The sequence below is a fragment of the Homo sapiens genome, chromosome 12 (assembly GCF_000001405.40).
Source record: "Homo sapiens chromosome 12, GRCh38.p14 Primary Assembly".
NCBI lineage: Eukaryota > Metazoa > Chordata > Mammalia > Primates > Hominidae > Homo > Homo sapiens.
The window spans coordinates 95,137,446-95,161,302 of record NC_000012.12 but is presented as its reverse complement, the minus strand read 5'-3'; the positions used below and the strand labels follow the sequence as shown (position 1 = coordinate 95,161,302).

At 39.9% G+C, this 23,857-nt stretch overlaps 1 protein-coding gene across 1 annotated transcript in view; it reads left to right on the top strand.

Annotated features, from left to right (window-relative positions):
• FGD6 (FYVE, RhoGEF and PH domain containing 6) overlaps positions 1 to 23,857 on the top strand; it is a 140,719-nt gene that overhangs the window by 56,165 nt on the left and 60,697 nt on the right. Inside the window, exons 4-7 of the mRNA NM_018351.4 lie at positions 8,310 to 8,377; positions 8,462 to 8,492; positions 19,764 to 19,915; positions 23,625 to 23,781. Of these exons, the coding sequence (NP_060821.3) occupies positions 8,310 to 8,377; positions 8,462 to 8,492; positions 19,764 to 19,915; positions 23,625 to 23,781 (408 nt within the window). The remainder of the gene's footprint in view (positions 1 to 8,309; positions 8,378 to 8,461; positions 8,493 to 19,763; positions 19,916 to 23,624; positions 23,782 to 23,857) is intronic.

Sequence of the window (23,857 nt, the reverse complement as noted above, 5' to 3'; positions counted from 1 at the left end):
GCTGGTCTCAAATTCCTGACCTCAAGTGATCCGCTCACCTTGGCCTCCCAAAGTGCTGGGATTACAGGTGTGAGCCACTTGGCCCAGCCACAAGTGGGTGTTTTTGTTTTTGTTTTTGTTTTTGAGATGAAGTTTCAATGTGTCATCCAGGCTGGAGTGCAGTGATGCAATTTTGGCTCACTGCATCCTCCATCTCCTTGGTTTAAGCAATTCTCCTGTCTCAGCCTCCCAAGTAGCTGGGATTACGGGTGTGTGCCACCATGCCCAGCTAATTTTTGTATTTTTGGTGGAGACGGGGTTTCACCATGTTGGCCAGCCTGGTCTTGAACTCCTGACCTCAAGTGATCCGGCTGCCTTGGCCAAAAGTGCTGAGATTACAGGCATGAGCCACCATGCCTGGCCACAAGTGGGTTCTTTGTTTGTTTGTTTTGTTTTTTTGAGACAGAGTTTTGCTCTCGTCACCCAGGCTGGAGTGCAATGGCATGATCTTGGCTCACAGCAACCTCTGCCTCCTGGGTTCAAGCGATTCTCCTGCCTCAGCCTCCCACACAGGTGGGTTTTTTAAAGGAAAAGAAGAGGCAATTCCTAAGTTGTTTGTCAGTAATTTATATTAAAATATCATAAGCTGTTTGATTGACTTTACATTGTTCTTTGTTTCACAAATTCTAGGAACATGGAGACTATGGGTGGAGGCAGCTGGTCAGGGACAAAAATGCCTTCAAACAGTTGCACCTGGGCATGGGGGTTGGGCCATCACTGAAGTCTCATACCCATGTTTCTCTGGGCCTGATAAATTTTGCATACCTCACATAGCTCAGTTTGCTCTGAGCTATTTTTCATTTTTCACACCGTATGAGTAGGGGCTACCATGCCCACCAACAATATATAAAGGTTCCAGTTGGTCCACATCCTCACCAACACTAGGTATTTACTGTTTGTTTGTTTTTTTATTATAGCCATTGTGTGGGTGTGAAGTATATCATTGTGGTTTTAATTTACATTTCCCTAATAACTATGTTGAACAAGTTTTTATATACTTATTGCCCATTCTTATATCTTCTTCTGTGAAATGTTTCTTCACATATTCACATCTTTTATCTCTTTTTTTAATTAAAAAAAAAATAGAAATGAGGTCTTGCTTTGTTACCCAGGCTGGTCTCAAACTCCTGTGCTCAAGTGATCCTCCCACCTCAGCCTCCCAAATTGCTAGGGTTACAAGCGTGAGCCACCGCACACAGCCTTTTTGTTTGAGTTATATTGAGTTATCAGAGTTTGGTTTTGTTTTTTTTTTTTTAAGAGACAGGTTCTCACCCTGTCACCCAAACTAGAGTGCAATATTGTGATGATAGCTCACTGCAGCCTCAAACTCCTGGGCTCAAGTGATCCTCCTACCTCAGCCTCCCAAGTAGCTGGGACTACAGGTGTGTGCCATTATGCCTGGCTAATTGTTTTTTATTTTTTTATTTTGTAAAGACAGGGTCTTGCTATGTTGCCAAGGCTGGAGTGCAGTGGCTCAATCATGGCTCACCACAGCCTCAACCTCCTGGGTTCAGTGATCCTCTTACCTCAGCCTCCTGAGTAGCTGGGACTACATGTGTGCACCACCATGCCCAGCTAATTTTTGTATTGTCTGTAGAGAGAGGGTTTTACCCTGTTGCCCAGGTCTCGAACTCCTGTGTTCAAGCAATCTGCCTGCCTTGGCCTCCCAAAATATGAGATTGCAGGCATGAGCCAACACTCCCAGCCCTATCAGAGTTCTTAATGTATTCTAGCTACGAATTCTCTCTCAGAATCATGATTTGCGAATATTTTCTCCAGTCTATGGTTTATCTTTTTATCTTCTTAATGATGTCTTTTGAAGCATGAACAATTTATGAAGTTCCATTTATCAGTTTTTTTCTTTCATGAGTTATGCTTTTGGTGTCATATCTAATAACTCTGCCTAATTCAAGATCATAAGGATTTTTTAAAATGTTTTCTTCTAGAAGTTTTACAGTTTTCACATTTTTAGTTAATTTTTGTATGGAGTAGCCTCCTCTACACAAGTCTGTGTAATGCAGGCCCTGGCAGAGCAAGGTCCTGAGAAGGAGAGAAAAAAAAGTTACAGAGTAGAGACCTAACAAAAGGAGAGTGATAAAAAGAGGAGAGGAAACAAAGGGTAGGTGCCAAAAATAAATTAACAGCTACTTGAAATTTTTGTGTCGAGCTCGTGCACATTTTAGCTGACTCCAGTAGTCAAATGCTTCCACATCTATAGTGTGCCTGCATTTCTTTAAAGCTACTGATAAGATCCGCTCTTGACCTTTAAGGGATGTCACATTATTTGGAAATGAAGAGTCAGGGCTTCAGTTCCCTGAATGGTTTTGGTTTCTGTTTTTCTCACTTATAATGCATTTGTAATTTTAATTTTATTTATGTTATTATTATTATTATTATTATTTTTACTAACGACATGGTCTCATTATGTTGCCCAGACTGGTCTCAAACTCCTGGGCTCAAGCAATCCTCCCACCTTGGCCTCTCAAAGTGCTGGGATTACAGACATGAACCACCATGCCAAGCCCATTTCTAATTTAAAATTTATACACTGTATTTTGTAAACATTAAACTTTTCTATCTACAGATTATATGGAGAACCCCATTGTGATAGAAAAGTTTGGACTTGCTAAAATATGTTTTCAAAATAACAGTTATCCGTGTGTGTGTGTGTATGTGTGTGTAGACACTTATGTAATCATGATTATTTAGTGCCTGATATGTGGTCTGCCAGGTCAAGGTCAGACTGTGCTTAAGACTGCAGTCTTCCTGAGGAATATAGCTATGTGTAGTTTAAAAGGTGAGTGATCATGCCTCTAATCCCAGCACTTTGGGAGGCTGAGGCAGGCAGATCAGAAGGCCAGGAGATCGAGACCATCCTGGCTAACACGGTGAAACCCCGTCTCTACTAAAAATACAAAAAAAAAAAAAATTAGCCGTGCATGGTGGCACACACCTGTAGTCCCAGCTACTCAGGAGGCTGAGGCAGGAGAATCGCTTGAACCCAAGAGGCGGAGATTGCAGTGAGCCAAGATCACGCCACTGCACTCCAGCCTGACCAACAGTGAGACCCTGTGTTAAAAAAAAAAAAAAAAAAAAAAAAGTGAGTGAATGTATGGCCAGGCACGGTGGCTCATGCCTGTAATCCCAGCAAGCACTTTGGGAGGCTGAGACAGGTGGATCACGAGGTCAGGAGATCGAGACCATGCTGGCCAACATGGTCAAACCCAATCTCTACTAAAAATACAAAAATTAGCTGAGTGTAGTAGTGCATGCCTGTAGTTCCAGCTACTCGGGAGGCTAAGGCAGGAAAATCGCTTGAACCCGGGAGGTGGAGGTTACAGTGAGCTGAGATTGCACCACTGCACTCCAGCCTGGCGACAGAACGAGACTCTGTCTCAAAACAAAAAGTGAGTGAATGTAGTTGAGTAAAACATATCCAACCTGGTAGTCTCCATCATTAGGAAAGAGGAATAATAACAGGAATAGAGGTCATATTCATCTGTCTATCTAATTGTCCTTTTAGCAGTAGAGTTTGAGAGCTAAGGTAAAGTAGCATGAAAAAAGTATCCTAGGCTCATTAGACTGGACTCTGAATTAGTAATCCATTTAAAGATTATTTTCACAAGTAGTTGGTTTCACAACCTTCTTTGAATATTTTTTGCATAACAGTATTTATATTCTTTTTTTTTTTTTTTTTGAGACAGAGTTTTGCTCTTGTCGCCTAGGCTGGAGTGCAGTGGCACGATCATGACTCACTGCAACCTCTGCCTCCTGGGTTCAAGTGATTCTCCTGCCTCAGCCTCCCAAGTGGCTGGGATTACAGGCATCTGCCACCATGCCAGGGTAATTTGGTACTCTTAGTAGAGACGGGGTTTCACCATGTTGGCCAAGCTGGTCTCTATCTCCTGACCTCAGGTGATCCACCCACCTCAGCCTCCCAAAGTGCTGGGATTACAGGCGTCAGCCACCGCACCCAGCCCAGTATTTATATTCTTATGGAAGGGTCAGGATTTCTTGGTATTGCATATAAATTATTCTGTAGTAAAGTAAGAAAACATGAAGGGACAAATATACACAAACTGTAAGATTAGTGGCTACTTCTGTCAGAGGAAGAAGAGAACTTTAATATCATAATTTAACAATTTGTTTCACAGAAAGATTTAAAACAAGTATTTCAGAATGTTTGGATTTGTTAAATCTTGGTGGGAGAGTGGATGTGTGGGTATTAGGTTTAGCAGTAATTATTTGTAAGGATATGCTGAGATTACTGGCAGATATTGAAGAGAGATTCAAGGTGTAATAAAATTATTTGTAGGTTAAATATTGGGAAATCTGGGTTCTTTTTCCAACTGTGCTAATAGTTATTGGGGGAAATTCAGCCAGATATTGGGCGGAATTCACCCCCAATATTTCACGTAGGTTGTTTTCATTTTCCCTAAATGTTGGCTGGTCTGAGAAATAAAGGGATAGAGTACAGAAGTGGGAAATTTTAAAGCTGAGTGTCCGGGGGAGACATCACATGTCGGCAGGTTCTGTGATGCCCCCTGAGCCGTAAAACCAGCAAGTTTTTATTAGTGATTTCTACAGGGGTGGGAGTGTACAAATAGGGTGTGGGTCACAGAGATCACATGCTTCACAAGGTAATAGAATATCACAAGGCAAATGGAGGCAGGGCGAGATCACAGGACCACAGGACGGGGCGAAATTAAAATTGCTAATGAAGTTTCGGGCACACATTGTCATTGATAACATCTTATCAGGAGACAGGGTTTGAGAGCAGACAACCGGTCTGACCAAAAATTTTTTAGGCGGGAATTTCCTTGTCCTAATAAGCCTGGGAGCGCTATGGGAGACTGGGGTTTATTTCATCCCTACAGCTTGACCATAAAAGACTGCCGGCCCCGAAGCAGCCATTTCAGAGGCCCACCCTCAGGGATGCATTCTCTTTCTCAGGGATGTTCCTTGCTGAGAAAAAGAATTCAGCGATATTTCTCCCATTTGCTTTTGAAAGAATAGAAATATGGCTCTGTTCCTCCCAGCTCACTGGCAGTCAGAGTTTAAAGTTATCTCTCTTGTTCCCTGAACATTGCTGTTACCCTGTTCTTTTTTCAAGGTGCCCAGATTTTATATTGTTCAAACACACATGCTCTACAAACAATTTGTGCAGTTAACACAATCATCACAGGGTCCTGAGGCAACATACATCCCCCTCAGCTTACGAAGGTGACGGGATTAAGAGATTAAAGTAAAGACAGGCATAGGAAATCACAAGGGTATTGACTGGGGAAGTGATAAGTGTCCATGAAATCTTCACAATTTATGTTCAGAGATTGCAGTAAAGACAGGCATAAGAAATTATAAAAGTATTAATTTTGGGGAACTAATAAATGTCCGTGAAATCTTCACAATTTATGTTCTTCTGCCATGGCTTCAGCCAGTCCCTCCATTTGGGGTTCCTGACTTCCCACAACAAATAGTCAACTTTGAGTCTTGGCAAATCCCTATTTTAAGTGGGTGTTCTTTGGGACTGTGCTCTTGGTCCAACTCTCACTTTACGTAGTCCCTGTGTTTGACTTCATTCACTCTAATGACTGACTACTATTTATGATTCTAATGGTTCTCAATATAATAAAAAGAATGAATGCAAAAATAAAACTTTCCCCTATAGTTCTCTGACTTCTTGTGAGCATAGAAGTGATTGCAGGTTTTTTTTGTTTTTTGTTTTGTTTTGTTTTGAGACAGAGTTTCACTTTTCTTGCGCAGGCTAGAGTGCAGTGGCACCATCTCGGCTCACTGCAACCTCCACCTCCCAGGTTCAAGCGATTCTCCTGCCTCAGCCTCCCGAGTAGCTGGGACTACAGGCATGCGCCACCACACCCAGCTAATTTTTTGTATTTTTAGTAGAGATGGGGTTTCCCCTTGTTAGTCAGGCTGGTCTCGAACTCCTGACCTCAGGTGACCCACCTGCCTCGGCCTGCCAAAGTGCTGGAATTACAGGTGTGAGCCAGTGCGCCCGGCCTGATTACAGTTTTTAAAAATCTAAATTTTAACATACTATAAAACCTTGAGGAATCCTCTCCTCATTTATTCACTTGAACATCACCCATGCTTTAATAAAGTAACAAATAAAAGGGTTTCAGTGTATGTATGGAACATATATAGTCATATTTTTTTTAATTTATTAAAATGTAATTTTCAGAAGGGTTTCATTGTTAAACCTGCATCTATTTTTTTACCTTGGTTGTGACACTGAAATTCTGGAAGCAGTCGAAAAAAGTTTTTTCCCTCAGTGTTGTATGTGGAAACTTAGAAAAAAGAAAAAAAAATTTTCCCAAATGAAGAACTAACATAGTCATGTGATCCATCACAGTGAGTCTCAGGGAAACAGATCTGCTAGATCCATGATTCCAATGTTAAAAAGAAGACTACTTTAGAGAGAAGTTGCTACCATATTTTTTTTTCCTGTGGCATTTCATTAATGAATGACTGCTGGACTGTCATGGTCATTTTTAATGTTTATCATGTCATTGCCTTGTCCAGCTGCACCCTGGTCAGCACAAAATAACCGTGTCCTGGTGTTGCCAGTGCCTACGAGAATGCAAAGAGACCTCTTTCTAAAACCAGGTCTGACGTTTCTTCAAAGAAACATCCAAGCATTTTCGTTTTAATGTCAGCAGTCATCATTTTCACCTTAGGTGTAACATCTAAAATTTATACTTGCTTGTTCCTTATTTACTCTTTTTGGTCTTTACTGTGGAACTGTAGTGTTCTGATCTTGAACTGGAACATAAATGGAGAGAAGCTTCTCTCCTTTTCTCTGATTTCCCTGGAACTAAATCCAACTCTCGATATTTTATTGAAAACAACAACAACAAATTCACCTAAATACTGAGACCTCTTTTTGAGTCATCTTTATTATTATTTTGTTAAAGATGCACATTTTTTTTGTTCCTGCTAGGGCATTTAGTTTTTATACAAAGTAGTCCATAATAAAAGAATTTCATGGCCGGGCACAGTGGCTCACACCTGTAATCCCAACACTTTGGAAGGCCAAGGTGGACAGATCACAAGGTCAGGAGATCGAGACCATCCTGGCTAACATGGTGAAACCCCGTCTCTACTAAAAGTACAAAAAAATTAGCCAGGCGTGATGGCACGCACCTGTAGTCCCAGCTACTCGGGAGGCTGAGGCAGGAGAATCTCTCGAACCCCGGAGGCAGAGGTTGCAGTGAGCTGAGATCACACCACTGCACTCCAGCCTGGGCAGCAGAGCGAGACTCTGTCTCTCTCTCTCTCTGTCTCTTCTCTCTCTCACTCACACACACACACACACACACACACACACACACACGAATTTCATTTCAGCTCCTTAGCATAAAACTGCCTTGACTCTCTAAGCATATATCTAAAAGGGATTTTAAGGAAATTCGGAGAGCCTGTGACTGTAATTTTGACTTATATTTGTTATAGATTGAAGAAGAGCCCTGTTCAGACTATATTTAAGTTGTGAGTTAAAATACCTTTACTTATGGTGAAGTTCTCATCTACATTCCTATTGGATATTAACTAATTATTTTTGTTTGTTTGTTTGTTTTTGTTTTTGAGACAGAGTTTCACCCTTGTTGCCCAGGCTATAGTGCAATGGCGCGATCTCGGCTCACTGCAACCTCTGCCTTCTGAGTTCAAGCAATTCTCCTGCCTCAGACTCCCGAGCAGCTGGGATTACAGGCATGAGCCACCATGCCCAGCTAATTTTGTATTTTTAGTGGAGGCGGGGTTTCTCCATGTTGGTCAGGCTGGTCTTGAACTCCCAACCTCAGGTGATCCACCCGCCTCGGCCTCCCAAAGTGTTGGGATTACAGGCGTGAGCCACTGCACCCAGCCAAATTCTTAAATTATTTGTACACACCCAAAGGAGTCTTCTTCTGGTATCTATCTGTAAGGGGCCACTTCCCCTGTAGCCTTTTTAGTTTGTGACTTCCATTTTGAACCACTGATGGTTGCATCCCAGCAAGGTTCTGGAGCTACTCAGGGCAGTTCATCAATCCAGCTAATGACAGTGAAGATTACTGATTGCTCTCAGCTATTCCTGTGACATGGTTTATCCCTCATCCAATTCTCCACGTTTGCCATTTGAAATGTTATATGGTATGAACTGTGTGCTAGGAGGAAACTTACAAGTATCAGAGTTAAAATTCGTGTCTGACTAGCTCATAGCTGATCTTCATTATTCTTTTATGAGTTCATGTTAAATGTGCTCTTATCCACAGGATGAAGATAATGGAATGAAAAGTAAAGTTCATCATATTGCCAAGGAGATCATGAGCTCAGAGAAAGTGTAGGTATCTAGTTTACAATTCAGAAGACTGTTTTCCCCCCATTGGCACATTTAAAACATTTTTTTCATTGTTGTTTTTTACAGGTTTGTGGATGTGTTAAAACTTTTGCATATTGTAAGTATCTGCTAATATTTTCTTGAAGTCTAAGACTATTCCCTTTTGTACTTTCCCTACCCCTAGAAGTTTTCAGCATTACTAACTTAATGATAGACATTTTCTAAAATGTATGTATTTCATATATGTAGATAACATGATTTCTGAAAGAGTCTTAGTAGCTATATGTCCAAAGTCTTCAAACTTTATGTCTTCATAACAGTTTTGAAGGTGATAATATATTTTCTTAGGCATTTGCTGAAGATACTTGCTGTTAGAGTTTTGCATTAGCAATACATGAAGAGCATCATTATCATTGTCCAAAAGTGTTTTTCTCCTACCTAAATAAGCTCCCAGAAACAGATTTGAAATAGGCAATTTTCTTACTATTTTTCCTTTTACTACCTCCATTTAGGAGAGATTAGAAATAGACATTTTTACAACTAAGTTTTAGTTCTATTTTCTGTTTTTTAAATGGTCAACTTTTTTTTGTTTTTTTGATTTGAGAGAGCATCTTATTCTGTTGCCCAGGCTAGGGTGCAGTGGTGCGATCTTAGCTCACTGCAGCCTTTCAACCTCCTGGGTTCAGGCAATTCTCCTACCTCAGGCTCCTGAGCAGCTGGGACTACAGGCACTCACCACCATGCCCAGCTAAATTTTGTATTTTTTGTAGAGATGGGGTTTCAACATGTTACCCGGGCTGATCTCAAACTCATGGGCTCAAGTGATCAACCCGCCTTGGCCTCCTAAAGTGCTGGGATTACTGACATGAGCCACTGCAGCCAGCCTATAATTGTCAACTTGAACAGACTTGTTAGGAAAGAATTATGATATGTGTCAGGGTGCATATTCATTTTTCTCATGCACTCCTTTGTCCTTGCAGGTTTTCACAAGTTTCATTATGCATTGACAGTTAAAGTGCTTTTAGGGTTACTTTATTTCAATTATATTTAGGCAAGATATTAAGACTTAAGAAAGGGGTAAAACAAAAGGAAAAGGTAGATGAAAATGAAAAAAGGAGTTGAAGTGACAGTTTACTTATGTGGTGTAATTATTAACATCATAAATTAGGCTTAATTGTGGAGAAATGAAAGGTTCACCAAATATACATCCATTTAAGTCTTGGCAAACAGTATCATTATTTTCAGGTTTTCTTTGAATGGATACATACAAACATGAAAAGTAAGTTACACTTAGGCATGATTCACATTCACTAAATGATTACCTGTGCTCTGTACTTGGTCCAACAGAAACCCAGGGGCCTGGCATGGTGTGGTGGCTCATGACTGTAATCCCAGCACTGTGGGAGGCTGAAGCGGGTAGATCACCTGAGGTCAGGAGTTTGAAACCAGCCTGGCCAACATGGCTAAAACCCATCTCCGCTAAAATACAAAAATTAGCCAGGTGTGGTGGCATGCCTGTAGTCCTAGCTACTCAGGAGGCTGAGGCAGGAGAATCACTTGAACCCAGGAGGCAGAGGTTGCAGTGAGCCAAGATGGTACCACTGCACTCCAACATGGGTGACAGATCAAGACTCTGTCTCAAAACAAAACAAAACAAAAATAGGGGCCTGATTCCTATGTGAAAAATCTGTAGCTTTGGAAATTCTTTAAAAATTCTTAACATTGCTAATGTGTTTTGAGAAAATATTTCCCTGTGAATAGTTTCTCACATTGATTTTTGGCTATATTGGTAATATTGATAAGTTCTCTCTTCCTCTCTCTCTCCTTTTTTTTAATGACTCAGTGTCTCACTTTGTCACCCAGGCTGGAGTGCGGTGGCATGATTTCCACTCACTGCAAGCTCTACCTCCTGGGCTCAAGCGATCCTCCCATCTCAGCCTCCTGAGTAGCTGGGACCACAGCCATCCACCACGCCAGGCTAATTTGTTGTATTTTTAGTGGAGATGGGTTTTAGCCATGTTGCCCAGGCTGGTCTCGAACTCCTGAGCAATCTGCCCACCTCAGCCTCCCAAAGTTCTGGAATTACAGGCATGAGCCACTATGCCCAGCCAGTTCTCTTTTGTAATAGATTTTCTTTTTTTAATGATAGGACAAAGCTAGGCATGGGTAGCACACACTTATAATCCCACCTATTCAGGAGGCTGAGCCAAAAGAATCCCTTGAGCCTAGGAGTTCAAAACTGCAGTGAGCTGATTGCACCACTGCACTCTAGCATGGATGACACAGCAAACCCTTTTTCCAAAAAAAAAAGGACAATGTTTTGTCACCCTAACAAATTTATTGAGTGGCAAGCTTACTGTCATTTCATATAAATTATAATATGTTTAATAAATAAGTGGCTTTTCAAAATGAATTTCTTGTATATTTGCTGCTCTGCCCTGAACATCCCCACCACACCGTAGACATCTGATATAATTAAGTACAAGTTAATAGGAAGGTTTTTGGTTGTCTTATTGCTCTCTGATGGGAGCTAGCCTTAGTAAATATCTCAATAAAAATATTATGTAAACGTACAAATAGTCTGCATTTAAAAAAATATTTGGGCCGGGTACGGTGGCTCATGCCTGTAATCCCAGCACCTTGGGAGGCCAGGGCAGGCGGATCACATGAGGTCAGGAGTTCGAGACAGCCTGACCAACATGGAGAAACCCCGTCTCTACTAAAAATACAAAAATTAGCCGGGCGTGGTGGCACATGTCTGTAATCCCAGCTACTCTGGAGGCTGAGGCAGGAGAATCCCTTGAACCCAGGAGGCAGAGGTTGCGGTGAGTCGAGATTGTGCCATTGCACTCCAGCCTGGGCAACAAGAGCGAAACTCCCTCTCAAAAAAAAAAAGTGTGTGTGTGTGTGTGTGTGTGTGTGTGTGTGTGTGTGTAATATATAGCATATATAGTATACTATATAATATATAGTATGATATGTAGTATATATAATATACTTTGTATTGTATATATAATTATATAGTATAGTGTATGTGATATGTAGTATAGCAATCTATTATATATTATACATATTTTATATAGTATATGTACTATATATTATATATAATGATTACTATTATATAGTATTATATATCATATAATATACTATATATACTATATATAATACTATATGTATAGTCACTTATTTATCAAACATAATTTATATGAAATGACAATAAGCTTGACACTCAACAAATTTGTTAGGGTGACAAAATATTGTCCTTTTTTTTTGAAAAAAGGGTTTGCTGTGTCATCCATGCTAGAGTGCAGTGGTGCAATCAGCTCACTACAGTTTTGAACTTCTAGGCTCAAGGGATTCTTATACATATTATACTATATATATTATATATATATAATACTATATAAAACTATATATAATATACTATATATTATGTATAATATATGTGATATATACTATGTGATGTATAATATACTATGTATTATATATAATATATGCTATATATTATATAGTATGCTATATATTATGTAATATATGCTATATATATAAAATATGTGCTATATATAATATAATATATGCTATATATTATATAATATATTATATAATATATGCTATATAATATAATATATTATATATAATATTATATATGCTATATGTAATATAATATATAATATATATGCTATATATTATATAATATATATGCTATATATTATATAATATATAATATTATATATGCTATATATTATATAATATATAATATTATATATGCTATATATTATATAATATATAATATATGCTATATATTATATAATATATGCTATATCTTATATAATATATATAATATATGCTATATCTTATATAATATATATAATATATGCTATATCTTATATAATATATATAATATATGCTATATCTTATATAATATATATAATATATGCTATATCTTATATAATATATATAATATATGCTATATCTTATATAATATATATAATATATGCTATATCTTATATAATATATATAATATATGCTATATCTTATATAATATATATAATATATGCTATATCTTATATAATATATATAATATATGCTATATATTATATAATATATATAATATATGTAATATAACATATGCTATGTATTATATAATATATAATATATGTAATATAACATATGCTATGTATTATATAATATATAATATATGTAATATAACATATGCTATGTATTATATAATATATAATATATATAATATAACATATGCTATGTATTATATAATATATAATATATATAATATAACATATGCTATGTATTATATAATATATATAACATGCTATGTATTATATAATATATGCTATGTATTATATAATATATAATATATAATATAATATATGCTATATATTATATAATATATAATATAATATATGCTATATATTATATTATATATATATTTGGAAGGGATTTTTTAGACAAAGATGGACTGGCTATATAGTATTAGTAATGAAGCATCTTTGCTTCACTAATTTCTTTAGGTGGAGACGTACATTTCCTTGAAAATTTGAGAGACTCAATAAAATCCATAGAGCCAGAGGCAAGGCTACCCTAGGCCTGGATCCAGATGTCTGTTACTAAATAGATTTTTTTTTTTTTTTGCATTGTAAAAGGAATAGAAGACTTTCTCAGTTCTCATTTTTTTTTCCATGTTAAAATCACTTCATGCTGTTTCACTGAATACACCCTGACTTTTGAGTCTTGTGAACCATTTTCAGCATTTTTTCTTTAGTTGTAAAGAATCTTTCTCTAGCTTCTGTTGACATGGCTACCAAACCTTCACTCTGGAGCAGCTTCTTTCATGTGAGAACTGTTCTTCACTGAATGAAGCTCATTGTTCAGAGTACCTTTGTTTTGCTGCTGAGGTGTTTTCCCTACCTTGGTTTGGTATTTCCTTCTCTTTAGATGCCTCTGTTTCACAGCTGTCTTTCCAAGCCTTCAGGGACTTGTGGAGAGAGGGAGGGAAGGTGACTTGTGGATCTTAAATGATGTTCATCTAATCATTTAACTTAACCAAATCCCCTTTAGTTAAATAAATGGTGTTCTATTAAGTGCTCTCTATGTTCCTTGCAGCATGCTATGTTACATCAATTATCTGTTTTAATCCTCGTAACAACCCTGTCAAATAGATGTTATTCCTATTTTTTTCAATGAAGAAAGTAAGCTAACTGTCAAAAATAACCCACTACTTAATAGGAAAACCAGACTTTCAAGTCTGGTCTGTCTGAGCCCTTGTACTTAGTTGTTCTTTAGCAATTGATTGAAAATTATTACTTGAAATCTCTACCATGCTGTATAGGATATAGTGTATCTTTGGATATATTAGCTTGCTTTCAGAATTCTTTTAGTTGCCCTGGAAACCAGAGAAACTTATTTTTCATCTTCTAAAGATGACAATGAAGCTAGATTTTGGTCACTTAGAGTTATTATGATGATTACTTGTTAGTGTTATTAAAGGAGATTGGAAACTAGACATAAAAGATTGCTTTCAATTATGTTTTCTACAGTTTTGCATTGATGATTATGCACCACTGATGATTATATACCGTATCACTGGGTCTACATATAGAGAGGGAAGAATAATTTCATTGGGAAAATATTTTTATTTTAAAAACAAAGTCAAATGGTTAATGTGGGGACTTTCCCACCTCTACTTTTACTCCATAGTTTCACACTCATTTCTGCATATTTATCATAGCACTTTGACCTCCACAGCTGCTTTGCTTTTGCTTAAAGTGAAGTGATTCCTGGTGTCCTTCATGAGGACAGGGAACCTTGTAGGGCTCCATGTCTGTCCATATGTTCATTTGGTCTTTGTAATTCATTGTGTCATGATAGTAGTTCAGTAATGCCCTGAGGTCAGGCAGCTGGGTCAGGACAGCTGGTAATTAAGTCACATACCCCTCATTGGTGCTGGAGATATAAAACCTGACCCCATGAACAAGGCCATCTGTTTTGTGCTTCATTGCCTCAGATGCTCATACTTGATTTTATTTGCATTGATTTTTTGCTTAGGTCTTCCCTAAGTGATTCGAGCTGGCCAAGCTGGTATGTTAATATCTCAAAAGAATTAAAGATCAACTTAAAGTTAATCTGATTCTGATTTGTAGGTTTTGGGGAATTAGTAAGAATAATATTATCATATGCTTCATAATTCAGAGGCCCATTTCTAGCTCTACAAATTCCACATTAAACAAGCATTTGGTTATTATGACCAGAAACTACAGTGTAGGTGGTTCAATTTTGCATGCAGAATCTTTGGTAGGTTTTGTTGTAAGGATGAAGTCGAGGTACTTGATGCTAACAAACTCTATAGCTAACTAACATTTTCACACTCTTAACTCCTCCCCCCACTATTTTAATATTTTATTTACCCAGCTTTTCCAGTGTGAAAAATTAAACTCTGGATCTAACTTTTGAAGAGCTAATCCTGCTGTCTTGCATCCTCACCGATTTTGTCAAGGAGGTGTTAGTGAATTTAGATTCTTCTGCCTCAAAATAGCTTTGCCTCTGGCTTTTAAGTGTCATCACACTTTCCCAAATTATCCTGGTTGTTAACATTTAGAAAAATAACCAGACATATGTTGTAATAATCCTTTTATAAAAAAAAGATGTCACCTCCTCCCAGTGGCACCAGTTTTGACAATGGCTGAGGTTCGTGAAGAGCTGAGAAGTTAAAGATTCTGCGTGTGGTTCCTGTGTGAATTAGTTACATCTGGCATTGGGGCTGTAGCACACAGCTGTCAGGAAATGGTGGCCCAAGAGGTGAGGGAATGAGACTGGGGCCAGGGCTGCTGCATGTGGTTATGGAGGCCAAAATTGGGAGTGGAGCCCAATTATTCAGTGACACTTGTTGAAGCAAAAGCACAGTATGGCAGGCTTTATTCAGGACTATCACAATGGCATAGGGGGCCTGGCGCAGTGGCTCGTGCCTATAATCCCAGCACTTTGGGAGGCCAAGGTGGGTGGTTCACTTGAGGTCAGGAGTTCGAGACCAGTCTGGCCAACCTGGTGAAACCCCATATCTACTAAAAATATAAAAATTAGCTGGGCGTGGTGGCATATGCCTGTAATCTCAGCTACTCGAGAGGCTGAGGCAGTAGAATCGCTTGAACCCAAGAGCAGAGGTTGCAGTGAGCCGAGATCGTACCACACTCCAGCCTGGACGACAGAGCAAAACTCCATCTCAAAAACAAAAAACAACAGACATAGGGACCACTGCAATGGGATTTTGCAGTAGTGGAGAGAGATTGGGCTCAACTCCAAATATATTACGGGCAAGTGGGAATTTATAGCCAAGGAGGAGCAAAGTGGGCGTTAGTGGATGGAAAATTACTAACAAGAAACTTCAGGAGCAGGGGAGATTCTGGCTAAACCAACTTAAGAGGATTCTTGCTGAAGACGGACCAGCCAGGGTGATCATACATCACCTGGGCAATGGTAGAGGATGAAGAACCCGAACAATATAAAGGGTGGGAGGTTCTTGCTAAAACTGGATTTTACAAGAAAGTGCACAGATGGGCCTAAGAAAAGATTCAGGAACCTGACCAGTACAGAATCTTTGCCGAGTGCTTACTTAGAATATGTAATTCTCTGGTTGGACACAATGGCTCACGCCTGTAATCCCAACACTTTGGGAAGCTGAGACAGGAAGATCACTTGAGGCCAGGAGTTCAAAACCAGTCTGGCCAACATGGTGAAACCCCATCTCTACTAAAAATACAAAAAGTTAGCCAAATGTGGTGGCACACACCTATAATCCCAGCTACTCAGGAGATGAGGCAAGAGAATGGCTTGAACCTGGGAGTCGGAGGTTGCAGTGAGCTGAGATCGCACCACTACACTCCAGCCTGGACGACAGAGCGAGACTCTGTCGCAAAAAAAAAAAAAAAAAAGGCCGGGTGCGGTGGCTCACGCCTGTAATCCCAGCACTTTCAGAGGCTGAGGCAGGTAGATCACCTGAGGTCAGGAGTTCGAGACCAGCTGGCCAACATGGTGAAATCCCCGTATCTACTAAAAATACAAAAATTAGCCAGGCGTGGTGGCAAGCGCCTGTAATCCCAGCTACTTGGGAGGCTGAGGCAGGAGAAATCACTTGAACTCGGGAGGTGGAGGTTGCAGTGAGCTGAGATTGCACCACTGCACTCCAGCCTGGGCAACAAGAGCAAAACTCTTTCTCAAAAAAAAAAGTAAGCTGGGCGCCGTGGCTCATGCCTATAATCCCAGCACTTTGGGAGGCCGAGGCAGGTGAATCACCTGAGGTTGGGAGTTCGAGCCCAGCCTGACCAACATGGAGAAACCCTGTCTCTACTAAAAATACAAAATTAGCCAGGTGTGGTGGCACATGCCTGTAATCCCAGCTACTCAAGAGGCTGAGGCAGGAGAATTGCTTGAACCCGGGAAGCGGAGGTTGTGGTGAGCTGAGATCACGCCATTGCACTCCAGCCTGGGCAACCAGAGTGAAACTCTGTCTCAAAAAAAAAAAGTAACTCTGTGGGTTTCATGGATATATACTCTCAAAATTCTTATAGCCTTTATTAAGTGTACTTCTGCTATTTTAATTATTAAATTTCTATTTTATTCTGACATACTGCTTTTAATTTAAAAGAAAACATTGTGGGCCATCAGTCCATTCCGAGCTACCTGAAAACATCCAGTAGTACTGGGAAAAGCAGAGTTTTGCCTGGTGTGTGACAAGGGCCTCCATTTAGAGGCAGCCATCTCACTGGTCAGTTCAGTTTGTATTTGGCTGGTCTCTGTTAAATGCGTCTTAAATAAACAAGTTCCCTTTTTGGCAATGGTGGCAGACATATGGAATGCAGGGTCTGGCAAAAGCTGTGTCAAACCGGGTCCTTAAGTTACTTAGCAGCTAACATCACTGTCACTGTCATGGCAGAGGAAATACCTTCCAACTGGGAAACAAAAGTTATCCTGCTGCCAGGAGACAAATATAGCCATTACTTACTCCACCAGAAGAAAGGGTGGCGCTTATTGCTTTGCTGAGCAAGGAACTCTTGCATCCAGATTATATTAATCACTAAACTGGTCAAAACAAAAGCAAAAAAGATAACCATAGAGGATGTTTAACTATTCTGCTTTGAATACATTATTCATGATGTGTAAATGTATTCTATAGCCCTGCATGATAGCAGACAGCCTAATGATTTTCAAAAGTGTTAAGTGGCTCTATTTTCTCTTAGTAAATGTGAGTGCTGATTGAAGCAAGCTGTTGGGAGGTGAAATATGGCTGATATCCATTTGGTTTCTGGAGATGTTCTGAGTGGTTTTCTGGATTAGAGCTTATAATACTATGAGAATTAAATGCTCTTATTTTATATGATACTAATTAGGTATACAAGTTAGTCCTTTAGTTACTGGTGTGAGTAGTTGGCTCCTTTGGGCTAATGTGACTGTGGGATCAATAAACTTAGTCCCAGGTACTGAGTCCTAAGTGAAAGGTTTTTTAGCATTGATTAAGCATAAGAGGACTGGACTTCTTCAAAATAGCCATCCTTTAGAAAAAGAATCCTTTCATATACTTTAAGTTATCTATGAGGTTTTTGGTTGTCCAGAGTTAAAAAAAAAAAAAACAAAAAAAAACAAACCTCATGGTTAATATATGTATGTTAGGGGCAGGTGTTGAAAGGATCATTGGAAGGAACAGTATACTTTTTTGGTTGATTTCATTTGCCCGGTAAATCCCTGAAGGGAAAGCAGTTGGAAATAAAGGTAAGGGAAGATAAGGCCTATTAGTCATTTACCCAAACTTTGCTTTCAGATTTTAATTAAAACTGCTGTTTCTAAAAAGGAAAAAATCTTTGTTTTTGAATCCTCAGGACTGTGGAACAGATTTCACTCTGTTTTACTTATATCTTGAGGCCCACCCTTAGGGGACAATGAAATCTAGGCAAATACTTATCTCCTACCCCACCCTTTCCAAGTGCTCTGGAGTAATAGGGTGCGGTGATATTGACCTATATTAAAACATGGTACAGATAGTCTAGAGAACAGTAAATGAAAAATAATAGGTGAAGAGAAAGATTCTTATTTGTGAAAAGTGTAAACCCTGGTGAATTTATTGAGAGGTTGACAAGAGGGAGGGGAGAATTTCAGGTCCAGAGTTAAAATGTTTCATTCTGTGTGCCAACTGCATTGCAAAAAAAGTTTTATGTGCAATATCTAATTAAAGTCTCATAACTAGTATTATACTCATTTAGCAGATGAGGGAAATCAGGCTGGCCCAAGGAAACACAGTAAATAAGGAGCAAAGGCTTGGATCCAGGATTCTGATTATCAAGCATGTGCCTGCCAGGCACGGTGGCTCATGCCTATAATCACAGCACTTTGGGAGGCCCTAGTGGGAGGATTTCTTGAGCTCAGGAGTTCAAGACCAGCCTGGGCAACAAGGTGAAACCTTGTCTCTACAAAAAATAGAAAAATGGGCTGGGTGCAGTGGGTCACACTTGTAATCCCAGCACTTTGGGAGGCTGAGGCGGGCGAATCAGAAGGTCAGGAATTCGAGACCAGCCTGGCCAACATGGTGAAACGCCGTCTCTACTAAAAACATACAAAAAATCAGCTGGGTGTGGTGGTGGGCACCTGTAATCCCAGCTACTCGGGAGGCTGAGGCAGGAGAATAGCTTGAACCCGGGAGGCGGAGGTTGCAGTGAGCCAAGATCGCGCCACTGTACTCTAGCGTGGGTGACAGTGCGAGACTCCATCTCAAAAAAAAAAAAAAAAATACAAAAGTGAGCCTGGCATGGTGGCACGCGCCTGTAGTCCCAGCTACTCGGGAAGTTGCCATGAGCTGAGATTGGGCCACTGCGCTCCATCCTGGATGACAGAGGGAGACCCACAACACGTGCCTCTCTCCACATGCCTCACCTAGGATGCTCCAGTTGTTGGGAAATGATGACTGAAAGTGGACAGTGGGACTCTTAAATCCAGAATAAAATTAGCTAAGATCTCCTGGGAACTTTTAAAATAAATGGATTGTGTTTATATTGATGGTATTGGAATAATTCTAAAGACTATTTAGAATTGCATTACAATTTCCAGACACTCGCTTAGTATAATTGCTAAGTTTAGAGATCAAACTAAAAGGTTTAAGATAAATATCATATAGTATGTTTGAAAATCAAATAATCGTCTCACTATTTTTTATTTTTAATTTCCTATCTAGGTGAGTGGGGTAGGAGGAAGGGGGTACTTTAGATTTGTAATTCTGCATGAGAAATACAGCTGTGCAATCTGTATCATTTTAGGGAGGAGGGGGACTGAGGATAAAAGCTTGTTATCAAGTTACATGTGTGTGTATTGTTTTTCCTGCTCTGGACTGTAATAGGATTTCCGGGATGCAGTAGCTCATGCTTCCAGGCAACTTGGGAAACCAGTGATTGAGGACCGGATTCTAAATCAGATCCTATACTACTTGCCTCAGCTGTATGAGCTCAACCGGGATCTCTTGAAGGAACTGGAGGAAAGAATGTTGCACTGGTAAAAATGGACCGTTTTCAGATTTTCCTAGTGTTTCCAATTTTAGATGAAGCCATAAGGGCCCCACATGTGACAGAGATATATTTTCATTACATTGAGTTGTTTGAATATATTGTCTTTGCAGTTATCCATAGATTGATTTTGTTTTGTTTGTTTTTTGTTTTTGAGATAGATTCTCATTCTGTCGCCCAGGCTGGTGTGCAGTGGCACAATCTCGGCTCACTGCAACCTCTGCCTCCCGGGTTCCAGCGTTTCTTCTGCCTCAGCCTCCCGAGTAGCTGGGATTATAGGCGTGTGCCACCACGCCTTTCTAATTTTTTGTATTTTTAGTAGAGATGAGGTTTCACCGTGTTGGCCAGGCTGGTCTCGAACTCCTGACCTCAGGTGATCTGCCTGCCTCTGCCTAAAGTGCTGGGATTACAGGTGTGAGCCACCATGCCTGACCAGATTGATTATTTTCAATGGCCCAAAATTCACAACCTTGGCACACCAAGCTCAATACTATTATTTTAAACAAATCTTTCGTAATCCTGCCTCAGAAGCAAGATGCAGCCGATTTAAATTTCTATAGGTGAACTTGGGCAATCAAGATTTTTGAGATTCAGTGTAGATAGATGCTATATGCTATATTCACATTAGAATAGTTTCTAAATGTTTTATTTACCTTCTGGAGCTGCAGGTCATGAAACTCCCTTTCCAGTTTTGAAAAAGAGGCCGTTCACTGAAATAATAGGATGGTTGTTTTGGAAAAGCAATTTTTTTTTTCTTTTGAGATGGAGTTTCACTCTTGTTGCCCAGGCTGGAGTGCAATGGCACGATCGCAGCTCACTGCAACCTCTGCCTCCCAGGTTCAAGTGATTCTTCTGTCTCAGCCTCCTGCGTAGCTGGGATTACAGGCGCATGCCACCATGCCTGGCTAATTTTTGTATTTTTAGTAGAGGCGGGGTTTCATCATATTGGTCAGGCTGGTCTCTAACTCCTGACCTCAGGTGATCCGCCTTGGCCTCCCAAAGAAAGGCAAATTTATATATGTATGACATGCTTGTAGAAGCTGTAGATTTAAGAATAGGAAAAGAATACCAAAAGGTTGGTATTGGAAGCTACTTCCACTAGGCTGAAGAAAATAAGTATGCAGAGGCTTGGTGACTTCTGTGGAAATAATGTAGAAAGATGGGTGTAGGAGGATTGAATTTACTGTTGAAAACCATGGGGAACACAACATGATTAGAATAAGAAAATAGTATCACCTACTTTCATGTTCAAAATTTCTCTAAGCTTTCTTTATATATAAACCAGAAAAATACCTCTGCTTGTTTTGGAAATATCTTGCCTCTATATGTTGGGTAAATATGGCAGATAAGCAATTAATACATAGCCGTAGCCTAAGTATAAAATAATACACAATTTAGGACTGAGAAATGACTAAAATGTAGTCTTTAAAGGTCGTGATAGGCCGAGCACGGTGGCTCATGCCTGTAATCCCAGCACTTTGGGAGGCTGCGGCGGGTGGGTCACTTGAGGTCAGGAGCTCGAGACCAGCCTAGCCAACATGGCAAAACCTCGTCTCTAGTAAACTTACAAAAATTAGCCAGACATGATGGCAGATGCCTGTAATCCCAACTACTCGGGAGGCTGAACTGGGAGGCGGAGGCTGCAGTGAGCCGAGATTGTGCCACTGCACTCCATTCTGGGTGACAGAGCGAGACTCCTTTAAAAAAAAAAAAAAAGTCATGATAGAAATAAAATATAACTGGCTGGGCGCTGTGGCTCACACCTTTAATCCCAGTATTTTGGGAGGCCGAGACAGGCAGATAAGCTGAGGTCAGGAGTTTGAGACCAGCCTGGCCAACATGGTGAAACCTTGTCTCTACTAAAAAACAAATCTTTTTTTTTTTCTTAAGTTAAAAAAAAAAAATTGGGGCTTATTTGCTTCCGATTTTTTTTTTTTGAGACAGATTTTCACCTCTTGCCCAGGCCAGAGTTCAGTGGTGTGACCATGGCTCACTGCAGCCTTGACTTCCCTAGGCTTAAGTGATCCTTCCACCTCACCCACCCAAGTAGCTGGGACTGCAGGTGTGCCCCACCACGCCTGGCTAATTTTTTTAATTTTTTGTAGAGACAGGTTGCCCTGTGTTTCCTTGGCTGGTCTTGTGCTCCTGGGCTCAAGTGATCCTCTCGCCTCAGCCTCCCAAAGTGCTAGGATTACAGGCATGAGCCACTGCACCTAGCCTAATTTTCTATTTATTAAAATATTTTTCTCTTAGGGTTCAAGTCAATACATATTCTTTGGTGTTAGTTGACTTTCTGAAATAACATTTTTCCATTGGCTTTTAACAACAATTGATGAAATATTTTATTTTCACATTCAAGAAGGTTTGCATATCTACTATGTGCTAGTCTGTGCTCTTAAGTATGCAGAGGATATCACAGTGCACAAAACAGACATCCTGCTTTCATGGAGCAGACATTTAGTAGGGGAAGGACCAGATAAATAGACAAGAAAACTACCAGAAGCAGTTTCTGAGTTGCAGAGACCTGAAATAGGACGCTGTGGTAGCAAATGAAGCTTGAGTGGTCAGGGAAAGCCCTCTGTGAAGGTGGCATATTTACAGTGATATCTGAAAGGAAAGGAGCAGCCAGCCAGGGTTCTATATTTCCAGGCATGTAGAACCATTAGTGGAAGTCTGCATAGTGGAAATGAATTCCATGTCTCCAAAGAAGATAAAGAAGGCCAGTGTGGTGGGAGAGAAATGGGGAAGAGGAAGAGAAGTGTGACAGGGGTCAGAAAGGGCAGGCCTTTGTATGCCAGGTAAGAAGTTTTTTTTTTTTTTTCTTTTTCTTTTGAGACATTGTCTCACTCTGTCGCCTAGGCTGGAGTGCAGTGGGCACAATCTCGGCTCGCTGCAACCTCTACCTACCGGGTTCAAGCGATTCTCCTGCCTCAGCCTCCCAAGTACCTAGGATTACAGGCGCCTGCCACCATGCCCAGCTAATATTTGTATTTTTAGTAGAGGCAGGGTTTTACCATGTTGGCCAGGCTGGTCTCAAACTCCTGATCAGAAGTAATCTGCCCGTCTCGGCCTCCCAAAATGCTGGGATTACAGGCGTGAGCCATCGTGCCCATCCAAGGAGTGAGTGAGTTATTTATTTATTTATTTATTTATTTATTTATTTATTTATTTTTGAGACAGAATCTTGCTCTGTTGCCCAGACTGGAGTGCAGTGGCACAATCTCGGCTCACTGCAACCTCCCCCTCCCGGGTTCAAACAATTCTCCTGTCTTGGGATTACAGGCATGCACCACCATGCCCGACTAATTTTGTATTTTTGGTAGAGACTGGGTTTCTCCATGTTGGTCAGGCTGGTCTTGAGCTCCTAACCTCTGGTGATCTGCCCACCTCGGCTCCCAAAGTGCTGGGATTACAGGTATGAGCCACTGCACCCAGCCATGGTAAACATTTTTTAAGAGTCTCTCCTTGTGTTGAAGAATGGTTTGGAGAGGGCAAGAATGGAAGCAGGGAGACCAGTTAGAGTCCAGGCAAGATGGGATGGTGGCAGTGGAAATGGTGAAAAGTAGGCATTTTGAGGTATGTCTTACAAGAAGAGAAAAAAAGATAAGTTGGCGGCTTAGATGTGGACTCTGCGTATCATTGCATATGTTCATCAATCTCTCTTTATATTTTTTTGTGTATCTCTTCTCTATCCATAGGACTGAACAACAAAGAATTGCTGATATCTTTGTAAAGAAGGGACCATATCTAAAAATGTATTCCACATACATCAAAGAATTTGATAAGAATATAGCCTTGCTGGATGAACAGTGCAAGAAAAATCCAGGTTTTGCTGCTGTTGTTAGAGAATTTGAGGTATTTGCTACTATCTAATGTTGAACACTTCTCTTTCTTTTTGTTGTTGAAGCTTTAATAACAAGTTGCAGTCATT